The sequence below is a fragment of the Homo sapiens genome, chromosome 15 (assembly GCF_000001405.40).
Source record: "Homo sapiens chromosome 15, GRCh38.p14 Primary Assembly".
In the NCBI taxonomy this organism is placed as follows: domain Eukaryota; kingdom Metazoa; phylum Chordata; class Mammalia; order Primates; family Hominidae; genus Homo; species Homo sapiens.
In genome coordinates, this window is record NC_000015.10 from 26,879,380 (window position 1) to 26,897,814 (window position 18,435).

The 18,435-nt window shown below is 47.5% G+C and overlaps 1 protein-coding gene across 8 annotated transcripts in view; it reads left to right on the forward strand.

Annotated features, from left to right (window-relative positions):
• The window catches only part of GABRA5 (gamma-aminobutyric acid type A receptor subunit alpha5), an 82,490-nt gene that overhangs the window by 12,661 nt on the left and 51,394 nt on the right, over nucleotides 1–18,435 (forward strand). For all 8 annotated transcript variants that reach the window (NM_001165037.2, XM_017022055.2, NM_000810.4 and 5 more), the window contains exons 4-6: nucleotides 1,467–1,588; nucleotides 3,787–3,854; nucleotides 3,958–4,178. In NM_001165037.2, coding sequence (NP_001158509.1) covers nucleotides 1,467–1,588; nucleotides 3,787–3,854; nucleotides 3,958–4,178 — 411 coding nt within the window. The remainder of the gene's footprint in view (nucleotides 1–1,466; nucleotides 1,589–3,786; nucleotides 3,855–3,957; nucleotides 4,179–18,435) is intronic.

Sequence of the window (18,435 nt, forward strand, 5' to 3'; positions counted from 1 at the left end):
GGCTTAGTGCTATGTCTTTCCGAAGTGTGCAACTACCATGGATGTTGGAGAAAGGGGAATTTAATGTTTTTAAATATGAAATCACAGAGTTAAAAAAGTATACATCTGTGGGCTCCGTACTAACAGGAGTGAATTTTAGCTTGTTAGAGCTTCAAGTATATGCATTTTTATGGTGATGTGAAACTTAGATCAAAAGAGCATTATTCCTTTATTCTTTATTCTCTCATTCTATTCAAAAGGGAATAGCTTTAGGGCCAGCAAAGAATTGATCTGTTAGATGCAATCAATAAAAATGACTGACTTTTAAGAACAGGGTGGAGCAGGCCTGCATCGATTCTGACCTCAGCATCTCTCCATGGCTGGTGGCTCTCAGCTCTGATTTCAGCCTTTTCATGGGAGAGAAAGCACTTTAAGCACAGCTAGGGCCCCACAGCTGGGCACTTCAGGGAAGTACCAGGAATCACATGTTCTTCTCCCAAGTGCCCAGGGCACTCGCTTCTTGGGAACCACAGCTGGCTTTCAGTTTGGTAAGTCCCCTTGAAGCCAAATTTGCAGTCAAGTGCTCAGTAATTCAAAACCAGTTGCTATTTGCACATCTGAAAGCAGCTGTAGAAACCTGAGGTGGGATCCATGCTCTTCAGCTGTGGGGCTGTCTTCTGGGCTTGTGGTCTCTCTGTCCCCCCAGATACCATCCTCAGTTTGTCTAGATCTGCTAGGGCAGTTTCTAGTTTTGTTCTGCTCATATTACATAAGCTTTTGGAATCTGGATAACTTGATTGAACAAACAAAAAATGTTCTTGTGTCTTCCCTGAGGGTCAGCCCACTTTTCTTGAGGGCTTATTGTGTGACGCTGGGTCCCACAGAATGTGTTGTGAGCTGGCACACTGAAGGGGCAGGACCCCAGAGATGACACAGACTCCATCATGTCTGTCACTCACTCTCCAATCCTGGCATATTATTCACAGCACAAATGCTCCCAGACCAACTAAGGATGCAGTGAGGTTTGGGAACAACAACCTCGGAAAGTTTCTCAGCGTCCCCTCCATGCCCCAGCGCCCAGTGCAGGTGACTCTAGCAATATGAGAACTCGGTTTTTGTGTGTTTAAACCAAACTTCTGAAATCCCCTGTGAGTGGATTAGGCTCTGCCAGTCCATGCGCAATGGCTAATTGGTTGTTAAAAATGGCTAAAATATTGACATAAACCAATTCCTTAGAATCACAGAATGATAGACTTTGAGCCTCAGGTTAGGTGGTTGGATAACTAGCCCCAAGCAGAGTATCCTTGGATGTTGGAGAACTGAGGTGTATCAAGGCCAAACAATCCCCTAGGCACTATGGGAGCTGTGTTCTCAGATCCTCGTCTCAGGAGACAAGCCTCCACGTGACTCCCTGGTTTCTGTATCTTGAGAAGAATTTGTAAGAAATAATATGTTTTAACGCTTCCTCTTGTTTCTCTTTTTAAAAGCTTTTCACAGATGCCAACCAGTTCAGTGAAAGATGAGACCAATGACAACATCACGATATTTACCAGGATCTTGGATGGGCTCTTGGATGGCTACGACAACAGACTTCGGCCCGGGCTGGGAGGTGAGTGTGCTCTCCTCAGCTGAGCCCAGCAAGGATCCAGGAAGGGCTTAAGTCTCGTCTCAAGCTTGTGTTTGCGCTGATTCAAACAATTCCTAAAAGAGCTTCCCTGCCAGGATTTTGGTATGATGGCTGTTCCACTCTTGCCAAGAATCATGCACCCTTTGTTATTGTCTAGACGCAAGATCCTTTGTTATTTTCTAGACGCAAGATCCTTTGTTATTTCTAGGTGGAAGAAGCTGGGGGAAGTGGTCTTCCCAAACATCTTTGCAAAATCCCCTCTTCCCAGATAATCTTAATGTCTAGTCTGGTTAACTTAAGGAGGAACCAGCTTTTAGGCGTTACTAAAGCTGAGATTACCCTATGTTAAGAAATAATATAAAATCAACCTCATAGTCTTGTATCTATGCGAGTCCTTTTCAGAAATCCACTGTGGAATGCAGTCATCCTTTATATCTTTATGGGTTATGCATTTAGTGCTTCACTATGGCCATAGTCCTAGTATTTACTTTGACTTTGTGGAATTCAATAAAAATGAACTGATGTAGATTGTTCTTGTAGGGCACACCTGGCACAGCTTCATTGTTGTGCTAAGAATTGTGTGCAGTTTCCAGGCATGTGCAATCCCCTTGGCTCTACAGTTTAGATGTGGAGTCTGAACTTGTTGGGTTAGGTGAGGTAGACACTTTCCAGTGAATACATTCTTGGAGGAAAAAATTTAGTTGTCTAGTGTTTGCATTTTTTTTTTATTTGAGATGGAGTTTCGCTCCTGTTGCCCAGGCAGGAGTGCAATGGCATGATCTCGGCTCACTGCAACCTCTGCCTCCCAGGTTTAAGTGATTCTCCTGCCTCAGCCTCCGGAGTAGCTGGGATTACAGGTGCACACCACCATGCCCAGCTAATTTTTGTGTTTTTAGTAGAGATGGGGTTTCACCATGTTGGCCAGGCTGGTCTTAAACTCCAGACCGCAGGCGATCCACCCACCTCGGCCTCCCAAAGTGCTGGGATTACAGGTGTGAGCCACAGTGCCCCGCCTAGTATTTGCATTTTTAACAGGGAGATCCACTTAAAGCATGAGTTGCCACTCTCTGCCTTTTGGGCACAGGCTCCTTAACAGTCTCTTACTCTGCCCTCTGAATTATGTTCCTAGGCCTGTGTGCCCAGCAGTCCAGTCCCTTGAACACACTCAGAAGGGTCAGAGCATCTAGAGGAGCCCTAAGCTGCTGTCAGTGCTTGTGGTATTCTCTCATCCTCTCTGCCTTCCAGTCCTACAGAGTAGGAGGATACCATGGAAAGCCTCCCGGGCCACCCTGCTGGGGCTGGCATCTCAGTGAGGAGACAGGCACACTGCATCATACAACACACAGCATCACACAGACACCTGCCCACGCACAGATGCACGCCATGCAGACGATCATCACACCGCGAGCTGCTGGAGAGGCAGGCCCACAGTGCGGCTGGAAGTTACCCGGTGTGGGCTGCAGTGCACTTTGAATTGCTTCCTACTCATGACCACGGGGACTTACAGGGCTGTGGTAGTGCCCAGGGAAGTACACAGGTTTTCCCCCAAATATTATTAGCCACTTTTATCACTTTACCTATTTCCAATAATTTTGTTTGAAATCACAGTCTCCCATGATAGGGCTTTCTATAATAACAGTTCGAAACGCTACATAAAGAGAAGTGGGTCTTCCTGTCTCAGGGCGCACTGGGCACATTCTCAACATCGTTTCCCGGAGACCACCCAGGACCTCCTGCTTTGATTGGAAAGTCAGCTCCCCTCATCCTGAATTGTCTGATGCTTTTTAAAGCCCCTCTCTGTGGCGACGGCGTGGCCCTGAGCTGCCAGGCTGGCATCATTGCTCCAGGTTTACAGAGGAGGAAATGGAAGCTCGGGTGTTTGCAAAACCCCAAGGCCCCACGGCGAGGCCTCAGCCCAGGTCTTTCCAGGACTGCTCCCCAGGGAGCAGAAGGAGGAGGAGAGCCAAGCTGTGTTCTGTATGATGGGAATTTCATTTCATGGTATAGCGGGGAGCAGCTCGATTTCATCTGGTAATTGTCAAGTCCTCCAAATTTACCAAACGCACTGCAAAAGCCCCCGGTTGCAGAGGGTGACCCTGGTTACTGGACTGAGAGCACGAGAGTGTGCCAGACGCGCAGGGTGGGTCGGTGCAGCCCAGGGACCTGTGTCTGTCTTTCAGAGCGCATCACTCAGGTGAGGACCGACATCTACGTCACCAGCTTCGGCCCGGTGTCCGACACGGAAATGGTAGGTCCCGGGGCATGGCTGGGCAGACAATTCTTACTCCGCGCCGCAGGCCCCCGCCCAGGCCCCGTGCCCTCTGACTGCCTCGTGCCTTCCTTTCCACTAGGAGTACACCATAGACGTGTTTTTCCGACAAAGCTGGAAAGATGAAAGGCTTCGGTTTAAGGGGCCCATGCAGCGCCTCCCTCTCAACAACCTCCTTGCCAGCAAGATCTGGACCCCAGACACGTTCTTCCACAACGGGAAGAAGTCCATCGCTCACAACATGACCACGCCCAACAAGCTGCTGCGGCTGGAGGACGACGGCACCCTGCTCTACACCATGCGGTGAGCGCCGGGCGGGGGCGGGCGGGGCCGGGGGACGGTGCGGGGCAGGCGCGGCTGCCCATCCTGCCGCAAGAGCTGCGCCGCGGAGCTGTTCTGACCATAGGTCTGAGACTGCGGCGCGTGTGTGCTGGGGGTTCCCCGTTGCCATCTGCCCACACCAGCGCTCTTGGACGTTCTTTCCCAGGGCTGCCATAGGTCCGTGGCCGTTTGTCATTTGGACTCGTTTATTCGGTTCAAGCTCAAGAGCATCTTTGGAACCATGGCCCATATAATGTCGGATAGGGAAAAATTATTATATTAAACTTAAACATCTAAGGAGGACCGGGCGTGGTGGCTCATGCCTGTACACCTTTAATCCCAACACTCTGGGAGGCTGAGGTGGGAGGATTGCTTGAGGCCAGAAGTTCGAGATTAGCCTGGACAACATAGCGAGACCTTGTTTCTACCAAAAAAAAAGAAACAAAAAAAAACAAAAAAGAAATTCACCCAGGCGAGGAGGCATGCACCTGTGGTCCTAACTACTTGGCAGGCTGAGGTGGTAGGATCCCTTGAGACCAAGAGTTTGAGGTTGCACTAAGCCATGATTGTACCACTGCGCTCCAGCCTGGGTGACAGAGTGAGATTCTGTCTCGAAAAAAGAAAAAAAAAAGAAGGGAATTTTTTATTTTCTTTTGTTGCAATTGTGTAGCCTTTGGAAGTTTTAAAAGCCTATTTCTCACATGCTTGGATAACATTCCAATGTTGAGGTTAAGTTTTAGTATTTATAATTTAAATGGACTGTTAGTCATTTTTAAAATTTTGAATTATTCATTGCCTTGGATAAATCAACAAATTGGTCAATGAGAAAGGCTCCTTTAGAGTTTTTCAAAGTTTCCAAAGTGGGTCTATGGAAGTAGGCTTCAGAAAATATTTTTTAAATTGAAAAAAACAGCATTAAAGTCAAGTTAAAAAAAAGGAAGCACATTCCTTTTGCATAGGTACTGGAATTTCTCTATCTTGCTACAATTTTTCACGGTAAACTTTATGTTTAAAAAGAGTAATCATAGTGGAAAGTAATATTGATGCTCTCATCTTTGGAGGATCTGTGTTTCCTAGCATATGTTCTGGTGAATACTGTAACACACTGTGTCCTGTTGATTAAAGGGGAAAAAAAAATCAAGCTTTTAAAGAACTAAATTTTGTTCAGAGGTCTTACAAGGGACTGCAGACTGAGGCCTGTAGCCTGGGAGCCGCCTTTTGGAGGGGGTTTACCAACGGCGCGGTGCAGTCTTTCATCCTGCTGCTGTGCACTTGTGGTGGATAATCAGCCTGTGCAACATCTCATTGCAGCTTGGGTGCAAGAGCACATTTGGTTATGGTTTGCGGAGGCATAATCACTAACCCCCTCAGACCCTACCTTCTGTGTAGGAAAACGCAAGGACTGGTGCTCTTATCTTGTAAAGAATGTAGTGACTCAGGGCCAGGCACGGTGGCTCACGCCTGTAATCCCAGCACTTTGGGAGGCCGAGGCGGGAGGATCACGAGATCAGGAGATCGAGACCATCCTGGCTAACTTGGTGAAACCCCGTCTCTACTAAAAAAAATACAAAAAATTAGCCGGGCGTGGTGGCGGATGCCTGCAGTCCCAGCTACTTGGGAGGCTGAGGCAGGAAAATGGCGTGAACCTGGGAGGCGGAGCTTGCAGTGAGCCCAGATCGCACCACTGCACTCCAGCCTGGGCAACAGAGCAAGACTCCGTTTCAAAAAAAAAAAAAAAAAGAATGTGGTGACTCAGGCAAGAGATGTGGGGGGCGTGAGCTCTATCCTGTTTGAGCTTCAAAGCATCTTTCTGGAGACACAATCAGGGACTTTGTGAAATGATGCTGGCAGGTGGAAATGAGCAAAGGTGGCTTCTCTCACATTTGTTACCTTGTCTCACAGTTCCAAATCTATTTGACAGCAGGACTGTCCTGGTAACAGCCCAATAAGGAGCTGTGATGAGTGAGCCTAGAGCACACAACTTGGCATTTTGTCTTTCCTCGCATTGATCTTGAACGTGTTTGCCCATAGATGGAGATGTGAGTTTTGAGCATCAGTGTCCTTGGACATTACCTTGTTGATTTAGAGAGGTTGTTGAAAACCTGAGAAATATTTCAAGGGTTGAGAATAAGTCCTTAGCCATCAGTCCATGGAAAAAGGAAGGGTTTGGAGAGAAGCGAGTGCAGTCTCAGCCCTGTGTGTAGACAGCAGGTGTGGAGACAGAGGCCGAGGTGTTGGAGGATGTCTAGGGGTTCACGTAGGGCTGGGAGGAATGCTGGATGTGGTTACTGTGGGGATGCCTGTGTTCTGCTCATGGAATGAGAATACACTCCTGGTCCTCGTCGGACTAGTGTTCTTGATTCTCATCCTAATTAAATCTAATCTTACTTTAATCTTTGGGTCCAAAGCCTGAAAGGTGTACCATATATATGCAGTTTGCTGTTGTTGTTGTTGTTGTTGTTGAGATGGAGTCTCACTCTGTCACCCAGGCTGGAGTACAATGGCACGATCTCGGTTCACTGCAACCTCCACCTCCCGGGTTCGAGCGATTCTCTTGCCTCAGCCTCCCAAGTAGCTGGGATTACAGGCGTGTGCCACCACACCCGGCTGATTTTTGTATTTTTAGTAGGGAGGGGGTTTCACTACATTGGCCAGGCTGGTATTGAACTCCTGACCTCAGGTGATCCACTGGCCTCGGCCTCCCAAAGTGCTGGGATTACAGGCGTGAGCCACTGTGCCCAGCCAAGGTAAGCAGTTTTAATTCTAGAAGACAATGGGACACACTCTATTCTCTGAAGCATTGTTGTCTGAATGGGATGGAGAGTTAGTGTCATTCCTTACAAGGGGAAGAGGCAGGAATGGGGCCGCCTACTGAGTCTGTATAGCAGGCAACTTCACAGACACAGCGTCCTTCAGCCCTCAGACAGCCCTGCCAACCAGGTGACACTGTGACCATAATGGACAGAGAGAGTAAGGCTTAGGGGTGTTTGGTAACCAGCCCAGGATCACACAGCTAGTGAGGAGGTCACAGGAATTTGAGCTCATTTCTGAGCAATGTTCTTGTTTAATCCACCACATTTGAAAATTCGAGGGACACAACATCATTAGATTGAGAGTGGCTTTTTGGGAGTGTCATGCCCAGAAGGGAGCCAAGGAGAGGTGAGAACCAGAGCGACTTGCCAGTGGTAATTAGTGGCTGTTTGTGCGGAGGAAGAGTCTGCTAATGAGCTGCAAGGTTGATAATGAGTTTTCTTTTTCAGTCATATACAACATTTGGAAAGTGGAAATAGTTCCACTTCCAAGTGTTATGAATTTTAATGCGATAGAGCTATAGCTAGAATGCTACAGCAGTTTTACCTATTGATTTAGCAAAGCTGGTGAAATGGCTATGCAAACTACTGGTGAAATAGGAATCACCAAAGCACGAATCACCCTGTGGTTGAGCACTTCAGTGCCAGGGTCCTTCTGGTTGGGAAGACGCCACACTGTCAAGTCATGGAAAGCCAATGGTATACTTTGATCCAGTCATTCCCACATAGTATCCATCTCAAGGAAATAATTAGGACTATGGAATAAGCTTTATGCACAAAGGTGTCTATTATATTACTTATGATACCAAACACTGGAATAAATATTAAAATTTGGTAAATTTTTCAAATGAAAATGTATCTTTAATTTTTTTTCAGATGTTGGACCTAAGTAAAACGACAAAATATGAAAGTGTAGAACAAACTAGGTTTCCATGATGCCTTTTATTTATTTATTTATTTTTGAGAAAGAGTTTTGCTCTGTCATCCAGACTGGAGGGCAGTGGCGTGATCTCGGCTCATTGCAACCTCTGCCTCCCGGATTCAAGTGATTCTCCTGCCTCAGCCTCCCAAGTAGCTGGGATTACAGGTGCTTGCCACCATGCCCAGCTAATTTTTGTGTTTTTAAAGTAGAGACGGGGTTTCAGCATATTGGCCAGGCTGATCTTGAACTCCTAACCTCAGCCTCGGCCTCCACCCACCTCGGCCTCCACCCACATCGGCCTCCCAAAGTGCTGGGATTACAGGTGTGAGCCACTGCACCCAGCCCCCATGATGCCCTTTTAACCTGAGACAAACATCTAGAAATGTTTGCAGGAGTTCACTTACCATTTTCTTAAAAGTGACTCCATATAGGTTATTGTACTTAAATATATATATTTTTAAATTCCCTTTTATTTTTAATCGACCCATAATAATTGCACATCTAGATGAAATACAGACTGATACGTGTATTCAGTGTATAATGATCAAATCAGGGTGATCAGCATATCCGTCACCTCAAACATGTACCATTTCTTTGTGTTGTAAACATTCAAAACCCTCTCTTCTACCTTTTTGAAAATACACAATAAATTACAGTTAACTGTATTGAATAAGATTTTTTAATGGGAAATCCCTGCCATGTTTCTGAATTCCTTTAAATTAGTATTCAGAGTTACACACAATTGAGTGAGCTGGCATTCTTTACATAAGAGATTCAAAAAAAGCTGAGGGAATGTATGCTGTTTGCTCCCCAAATGTCTGGCAGTGAGCCCGAGGCATTTTTCTGGAACTTATCCATGATGTTGGCTCTGAAGAACTTCCTACCACGAGTGGGTCATGCATTCACTGAATTTTACAAGTGAAATTCAGTAGCTTCTCAGAATCAGCCCAAAGAGAGCAGCAAACATCTCCTGTTGCGTCCTCAAGAGGCTGCCTATAAAGTACTGAACAATTTCTTTGAGGACCATTTTTCAGCAAATGGAGTGAGCCAGTTTACAGAACCATGCCCAGAATTAGGCTTCCAGCACTAGGCAGGGCAGTCAGGTCACTCCAAGGAAGCTCAGAGCAGTTCCTCCCTGCCACGCCTTCCTTTGCAGGGCTGGAGAGGTTAGGGGAGCTGAACCCAGGGACTGGCCCGAGGTCATCTAGGGTCCAGATGGATGACCGTCCCTTAATTGTTTTCTCGGGTGAGGGGAGATAGAGCCTTTGGTTGTCATTACATAGCAGCAGGTCCATAGTCCCCTCCAGATAAGTGCCTGAAGTACAGGGTGGCCACCTGTTTCAGAGACCCCACCAGATCTGACATACATACACCATTACGTAAGTTATAAAGAGCATATAGAGATAATAACCAAGTGAATTGGGAGGCAATGGCTCCCTTTCATCTGCCATCTTCCCACACCTTCTAAAAGTGCCAACTTATGTGAGAACACACAGTGAGGGTCACCTTAGGGAATGTCCCCCTGGTCTTTGGGCCCCTGGCAGGAGAGCAAGTCCCCCCGGTAGGCTCTTGTGTGACTGCAACAGGCAAGGAGGGAGTCCCTAGAAGGCTGGCTCTGCCTGCACCACGTGGTTCTGCCTGGCTCAGAGAACCCGGCCGCTGCTCCACCCAAGGTCACTTGCCCGTGCCTGTTTAATAGAAAGATCTGGGCAAACATTGTAGAATGTTGACATTTTTACATTGTAGTAGATACGCTGCACCAAGTAAAATACCACTAGACAGTCGTGCACTGAATACCGCTCTGCATCATCTCTTTTGCACACTATGTATTCCTCTGTGCTGTTTTTACTTTAAGGAAGACATATTTTGATGATTGCTTACACTCCACTCCATTTGGATTTTCCCCATGAGTGGAAACCCCTGCTTAATTCATGAATTGGGGAAATACGATGTAGTGAAAAGATCGTGGACTTCGGAGTTAGGCTGACTTAAATTCAGGTCCTGACTGTCATTTAGTAGTCATGAGTCCTTGGAAATTATATTTTAATCTCCTAGAGCCACTGTCTTTTTTTTTTTTCTGGTTGGTTGGTTTTGGTTTTTCTCTTTTCTAATGCAGTATAGCTAGCTGCAGTCTGTTTCGTTCTTATTTGAAAACGGCTAGTAAATACACATATTCCTTAAACGGCCACTTGAGGGCAGCATTGTCACATTTTTGCTTCATGATTGGTAGTCAATATCAAATAGCATTAATAGGTAACTTGGATACATACATATCTGGAAGTTTTGAACTAGACACTGAGATGTGTTTGTATATATGTACAAGCATGCATAGCTATACATTGTCAAGTTCAAAGTGTCAAGTTCAAAGCTTCTTTCATGAAACCAGATGTATTGGCTGACTTGCAATTTTTAAGGTAACACATTTTATATTGGCAAGAATCAAAATATGATTTAAAAATTTATAAAACATAGAAAATTACAAAGTGCGGAATATGGTTATGATAACACCAAGACCAAAGAGAATCAATGTTAATATTTTAGTGTGTATCATGTTTATGTGTCCCTGCGTGTAGACATTCATGAATACATATGTGTATGTCTGTGTGTATGCACACATAGTCTCCTATAGTTTTTGAGTGGCCTCATTCACTGAAAACTTTTGTGAATAGCTTTACAATTTTAAAATATACAGCATTGAAAACATTTCCCATGTCATTAAACATTGTTTTGAAACTTTGTGATATAGCACATCCCATCATGTGGTTATCCTGTGTTTATATGATTTCTGTAAAAAAATTCACGATACATCTATTTTTTTTCTCTGTGATAACATTCTGGTCCAAGCACCTACGTATATCCTTTGAACAAATCCCAGGAATTGGACAAAACATAAATTTTTGATATTAATACAGATTTTCAAACTGTTCTCTAGAAAAATAGTACCAGTTTCACTTCCATCAACAGTGAGAGTAGAGACCACCTATTACTTCCTCTCTGGCACCTTATATACAAAAATGAACATGAAATTTCTGCCCATTTTGCTACATGAGATCCAATTAGCCAGTCCATTGAAAACCATGCATAACAGTTACTCATCTCAAGATTTGTAGTCACTTCAATTTTTTTTTTTTTTTTTTGCTTTGGGACGTGCCTCACAGAGCTCCCTTGTCCTGATTTAACTTGAATTGAGCCTTGTTCCCAAGGTTGGAGACATGGAGCCTGCCTGGGACACCACTGCCCTTTCCTCTGTCTGGTCCCGCCGATCTCCCTGTAGGCACGCAGCCACACCATCCTTCATGTCCTCAGTCACTGAAGACAGAGACTTTGCACCAGCCTGCTGTGGCCCCACTGCCTTTGACTTCCCAGCTGAAGTTCTGTGTTCCCCACAGAGCGTCTTTTGGACATATATGTCTCAATCATGTATAACACATGCATGATACACGTGTCCTGTGTAATTCCATATACTCCCTGTCATCCCGGCACTGGGCACTCAGGAGGAACTTATGTGTGTGCTTGTGAATGAATGAACCATAATGGAATGTATGAGATCTCCTTTTCCTAAATGAGGCCATCTCACCACCCAGACCCTAGTATGAGGGACTTGGAAAGAGATCCAGAGAATGTCTGGTTCACAGACATGTTCTGTGCTTAGGTTTCTGCCAATTTAATAAAGAGTCAGATTTAGTTTTGCTAAAATTGTACTTGCAGCATACAAATAAGGACATTTCAACACACATTTCTTGCATATTTGGTTTGAAAACGTGACCAGACATATTCTGGGCCTGTTGAGAAGGCCATCAGTCTGCAGCCACTGCAGGCAGTTCCGTCTGGCCAGGCCATGCTTTGGACTCTCGGGCACACATCTCACACAGGACCACATCACCCTTTGCAAATGGACCATCTCCAGCACATGTTTGCTTTCTTAGGTCCTGACCCCACAAAGGCTGCAGACATCCTCGTCCTAGTGAAACAGAAACCAGAGCTTCAGAAATATAAACGCATTTAAACTACATAACATACATTTGGTAGTATCTTTATCGTCCTTCACAACAGATGTGATAAATGAAACAGGTAAAAATGATCACATGGCAATTAGCCCATCGATAATGTCCAAGTGCCAAACCTCCTGGCCTCTCCCTATTTGCATAGATAGAATATATAGCAAGCATGCAACAGGAAGCTAGCTATGCGCGCTATTCAGCCATGGGGACTGAAAATAATGTCCACGAGGTGGCGCCGTGGCCTCGTGCATCGAGGGGAAGACTGACAGGAGGGCATTCTAGAGCTTGGTTAAAGCCCCGGATTCACCGAAGCACGTTTAGGGAAGACAAAGTGCTTCATGTCTGCAGAGTGTTCCTGAGCCTCTTGGCAGGTCTGCGCGGCCTTGAGGTTGCTCAGAGCCAGGGAGGCTGCGCTCAGCCTCAGGTCCTCCCTAGTGCGCAGCCAGCCTGCACCCACCACCGCGCTTCCGGACACCAGAGTCCCGAGTCAGGGCCACAGTGCTGCTGCAGGCATCCCTCCCCTCCCGGCCAGCGGGGAAAAGTGAGCCAAGTGACCCGCTCTGCTCATTTCAGCTCGGACGGTGGTCCCTTAAGCAGGCCGAAACTGATGGTCTCATCTCCTGCACGCTCTCTGGCCTTGAGCGCAAATGCCCCAGAAACGTTGGCCAAGCGCACCGGGTGGTGGAAAATTCGGAGCAGCCACCGCCTGGCAGGAGTGAGGCAGATGCGATTAGGATTTCCATGTTTACCCTGAGAATAGTTAGGCGTATGCCCCATGCTGCTGGAGAAGGAAGACTTGGCAGAGGCCTCCGTGCCCAAAGTGTTTCCCGGTTGGCCCGGAATCCGGAGTTTTTGTGGTCTTCACTCCTATGATTTGCACTGTCTGAAACGGTGACTAGACATTTATCACACTTTAAAATTAAGGTCGAAAAACATTAATAATCCAGGTCCCCCGTGTGCCAGCCACATTCCCAGCAGTGGGTAGCCGGCTGTGAACGGTGGCTTCCGCGCTGGCGGGCAGTGTGGACGGCGGCGTCACCCAGCCCCGGGGAAATGCAGCCCCGTGGCAGCCCCAGGCTCCCTTCTCCGGGCCCTACCCAGCCCGCGCCCCGGGGGCCCAGCAGTGGGGGGGCTGCCTTCCCCGGCCGCGCGCACATGACCTGCGAGTCCGCGGACACAGGGAAGCTTTAAAATATTTCAAGGCAAGTTAGAGTATTTATGCTACAATCTTTTAACGGAGGCGATTTTTCTAGAGCATTTTAGAAGTTTGAATGATCAAATAAACTATGACATCTAGCAGGAAACTAATACCCATTGCTAATCTAAAGTTTTATTATTGAAATTAGCTTTCTTCTCAGTAGGATCTCAAGTTTTTTGCATTGCTTCAAGCAATATTAATAAGGTCCGAGCAGAGGGGCTGTTACTTTCCGTTAGCATTCACATGGAGAAGAAGAGGATCGTGGGATGGAATCAGCTGAAGGGCCCCTTGGGGCAGGAGAGGTCTGGGCGGCTTCCGGAGGCTTCTCTGAGCAAGTTGTGCGGGGAGGATGGAGCAGTGTGTGGGTGTGTATGGGTATGTGTGGTGTGTGTGTGTATGAGGTTGTGTGTGCGTGATGTGTGTATGGATGCGTGTGTGTAGTGTGTGTATGGTGTGTGGTGCGCGTGGGGGGTGTATAGAGTGTGGCGTGTGTGTGTAGTGTGTTGTGTTTATGGTGCGTTTGTATGTATGGAGTGTGGTGTGTCTGTTGTGTGTGTACGCTGTGTGGCGTGTTTGGGGGTGTATGGTGTGTGGCATGTGTGTGTCTAGTGCGTGTGTATGGCGTGTTTCTAAGTGTATGGTGTGTGGCGTGTGTGGGGTGTGTATGTGGTGTGTGGTGTGTGTGTGTATAGTGTGTTGGGTGTGTATGGTGTGAGCGTATGGTGTGTGGCGTGAGTGTATATGGTGTGTTGTGTGTGTATGGTGTGTGTGTATGGCATATGGCGTGTGTGTATATGGTGTGTTGTGTGTATATGGCGTGTTGTGTGTCTATGGAGTGTCGTGTGTGTGTATGGTGTGTAGCGTGTGGCGGGACTATATGGAGTATGTGTATGGTGTGTTGTGTGTGTTGTGTGTGTATGGTGTGTGGCGTGTGTGTGACTGCCCCTACTCAGGTCCCTATGTGAAGTTATGAGCAGGGCACGGCCTGGGCCTGGACCTCCCTCCTGCGTGTGGATCTGATGGGAGCAGCGGTGGGGAGGACTGCAGCTGGTCGGGCTGCCTAGGGCTCCCCTTCCTCTGCCTCGTGTCCTTCCCGCTCGCCCATCCCTTCGACCACTCACAGTTTCACTAAGCCCTGTCTGCGGAGCCCAGGGCCTGCTCACCCTGGAGTGGCGCAGGGGAAACAGGAGGATCTGGGGGCACAGGAGTGGGCGAGGGGCTGAGTCTGGGGGTGAGGGGAGCAGGGCCCGGCGACCAGGCGGTGGGCACGGAGTCTGGGGTGAGCTCGAGCTGCGAAGGTGGAGAGGCTGGGCCAGGGGACCCGCGTGGGCAGCAGCATGGACCGGGGCGTCAGAGTGCAAGATGTGAGACCTATGTGCGCGCGGGGCGGCGGCAGCCGGTCAAGGGGCAGCAGGAAATCAGACCTCAAAGGTGGCCGGGGACAGATTCCAAGGACCCTTGCTTGAAGGCTGGTCACTGTTTCCTTTGGGCCTCCAGGAGTGTTAGGTCGAGGACTGGAGAGGGGAGGCAGTTCTCTCCGCGCGCCCCCTGTGCTCCCCAGACGCCCTTTGCACTGAAAGCCAAGGGCCGGAGGCTGGAGCGCAGCGGCCCGGGCAGAAGCCCTGCCCAGACGGCGCCGGACCTGGGCCCGGACTCTGCGAGCAGCCCAGCCCTCACTTGGACAAAGGTGGAAACGGAAGCCTTCTGGGAGGGATGCGTATTCCCGCGAATCCACTACACTTCTCTCGGGATGCTTTTCCTTCTTCAGGCCAGGCTAGCAACGCAAACCTCGACTCCAGAGAGGCCGGTGTGCGTCCAGGGGCCACCCCTTCACAGGCCGCGCCTGCACCCAGCGTCTGTTCTCACTGCCGGCCTCGCGGGCAGCCAGTGGGTCCCCGGGTGAGATGGTGCGGGCAGCGCTCCCGGAACGATCCCGGGCCCCTCCTTCCCCCCGGGCTCTTGCCTGCGCCTCTTCCACACAATTTGCGATTTCCGTGGCGTCAGATGGCTGTTCTTTGTCACCTGCTTGTAAGAGCTGGTCCCATGATGTCAAGCCTCTTCTCCTGGTCAAATCCAGTTTCCCCTCAGTTTCCTTCATCGGAATTCCTTGGCCTTCGTCATTCTTGGCTGCATGAACCTTTGATTTCCTGTACTCTCTGGTCCTGGCTCTAGGAATGATGTTATATGTAGCGCCTGGCGGTGTGCTGTGCGCTCACCGGAGGAGGTGTCCCTATTTTGCAGGTGATGGAACTCAGTTCTGGGACCTTTCTGAAGTCCCGCGGATCCATAGGCACAGTCCGGCCGCAGAATATCTGGTTCCTCCAATGTTTTTGTCTTCCAGTCTCCGTCTTGAGTATCTTTTCTGTAAATTCATTTGTTTCCGTGGGTCCGACTTCTGTCTATTTTATTTTCTGACATGGTTTAAAACACACCCAAGCCCTGATTTCATTCTCGGTGGCTCCTTGGGCGCCCCCTCTTAGGCATCCTGCTGGGGTCTGAAACTGAGCCCAGAGCTCTTCTCAAACAGGAGCTGCTGCCTGGTTCTCTGCTAACCAGCTGGTTTTATGTATGGATGGCTCCTTTTCGTTCTTTCTCTACCCGGGGGCACAAGCCCTTCGTTTTTAGCCCCTGGCTACTGCTGCAGGTCGCCCACCACGTCCTGACCCCACCTGCCGCCCCCTTCACCCTTCAGTCCCCCCACCTCATAGATGGCTGCCACTGCCACAGCTGGTTCCTTGTTACCAGATTCTCTCTCCTATTAATATTATTCCTTCTGAATATGGATGCCAGGACCAAGGTAAAAGACCACCCGGACTTACCATGTTAAGGATTTGTAGCTTGTGGACTAACTTGCGCATTCGTAATTCCACTTCTGTGCCTGTGCAGGCTCTGCCACTATTCTGCTTGGGGTGCAATCCGAACTCCGTCACTAACAGTGTGACTTGGGAGAAGTTATCCAACTGCTTCATGCCTTATGGAATAGAAATAGTACCTGTCTTCTAGTCTTGTTGAAAATATAAATGAGGCTGGGCGCGGTGGTTCACGCCTGTAATCCCAGCACTTTGGGTGGCCGAAGCTGGCGGATCACGAGGTCAGGAGATCGACACCATCCTGGCTAACAGGGTGAAACCCCGTCTCTACTAAAAATACAAAAAAAGTAGCCGGGCATGGTGGCACTCGCCTGTAATCCCAGCTACTCGGGAGGCGGAGGCAGGAGAATCGCTTGAACCCGGGAGGCGGAGGTTGCAGAGAGCCAAGATGGCGCCACCGCACACTCCAGCCTGGGCGACAGAGCAAGACTCCGTCAAAAAAAAAAAAAAAAGAAGAAGAAGAAGAAGAAAAAGAAAATATAAGTGAAAAGAGTTTTTTTCACAGCACCCAGCCCAGAGATACTCATTTAGCTCCTGTTGGCCATGCTGGGTACAGAGTCTCCCCGAGAGCTGGACCAGCCTCCCCCTGCCTCCATGCACAGTGGTCCGGATCCCCTTCCACCCTTCCCTGCACCCTGTGGTCGCACATTCTTCCTCCGGGTTATCAGTGCCCATTGCTCCCACCCTTCAGTCATTCCCTTGCTGGGCAACCGCTGACCGCTCCTTTGCCCGACATCATACAGAGTCTTCGATGATTTGGAATGTATTTTCTTCCTTTTTAAGGGCTCTGAAGTGTCTTTGTGTAAGTGTGTTCCTGTTGTCTCCAAAGAAACAAACATTTATCGGTGTCTCTGCAAAGTAGCCAAAAAAAGCTTTACAAAAGAGGTGTATGAAATAGCACATAATTTCTCTCAGAAATTCAAATGTTTTAACCCTGCTTTAAAATCTCCCTGACCAACAATCATGATTCAACTAATTTGAGTAGATTTCCTCATGGTCTGTGTCAGTCTCTCTCCCATCATTTGTCAGGCCAGAAACCCAGTGGGTTTCAATTAATTAAAGGAAAATTAATTGGATATTACTATGGGCTGAATTCTGTTGCTTCCAAATTTGTTTTTATTTTTCTAGGGGAAGAACAAATAATGTTTACTAGAAATAAACAGTCACAAGACTTTCTCCATCTTTTAATTTAACCAGGTCCATGTGTTAAGCAATTACTACTTTGTAATAATTTATTATTTCAATTTATAGTACCCCAAAATAGGAGTTGGTAGGTTTATTTTTACAATGAGAAGTGCTAGTGTGATTATACACACTGGCCTAAAGATGTTGAGGGAGTATATGAAGGAAAAAAGAAATTGCGTAGTGATGAGTGTGAATTAAACATCAGAAGGACGCTAATTTACCACCTGGTTAACCCAGTCATCACCAAGTTGGCCCAAGGTGATTGAGCAAGTATCTATATCACTGCTCCATTTCCTCGGGTGATTTATTTTTCTATATCTTTTCAAAAAGTTTTATTATGTGAATTTAAGCAGTGTAAATTAATATGTAGAGAAAAAAATCTCTACATCTTACAGATGTAGAGAAAAAAATCTCTACATCTTAGAGATGTAGAGAAAAAAATCTCTACATCTTAGAGATGTAGAGATGTAGATTTTTACATCTCTAGATGTAAACACATTTACAACACATTTATGACAGCACCTATGGAAAGAGAGGTCCCTTCACTGCCATTATAGAGAATACATGAGCGTGAATTTTAACCAGCCAAAGCAGCTATGTGACATGCCTATGTTGCTTCCAAATTCTTAAGTCCTAACCTCTCAGTTGTCAGAATGCGACTGCATTTGGCGAAGGGGTTCTAAAGAAGTAATTAAATGAATTTGAGGTCATTAGGAAGGGCCCTCATCCAATATAACTGGATCCTTATACAATGAGGAGAAGATTAGAACACGGGCACCCACAGAAGGAAGACCATGCGAGGACACAGGGAGAGGACAGCCATCTGCAAGCCAAGCACAGAGGCCTCAGAAAGAACCATCCCTGCCAACACCTTGATCTCAGACTTCTACCTCCAGAACTGTGGGAAAATACATGTCTGTAGTTTAAGCCACCCAGCCCGTGGTACTTTGTAATGGCAGCCCCAGCAGACTACTACAGAAGCTCCAGTGCTGTGCAAATGAAGAGCCCTGACTCGGCAGATACGCTGCATCAACTTCACACTCAAGGTGTCAATCCATTTCTTTACAAACTCAACAGGAGTACAAGTTGCCCCTTGATAACACTTAAAGTTTCAGGATTCAAATGTCTTTTAATCATAGAGAGGGTGGAACAAGATGCCTCTCGTTACTTTCCCTGTTACATGTCAATTCCTCCATCACAAGTCTCTGATTCTTTGCTGCACTAACTTAAAAGAAGTAGACCAGTCAACATCA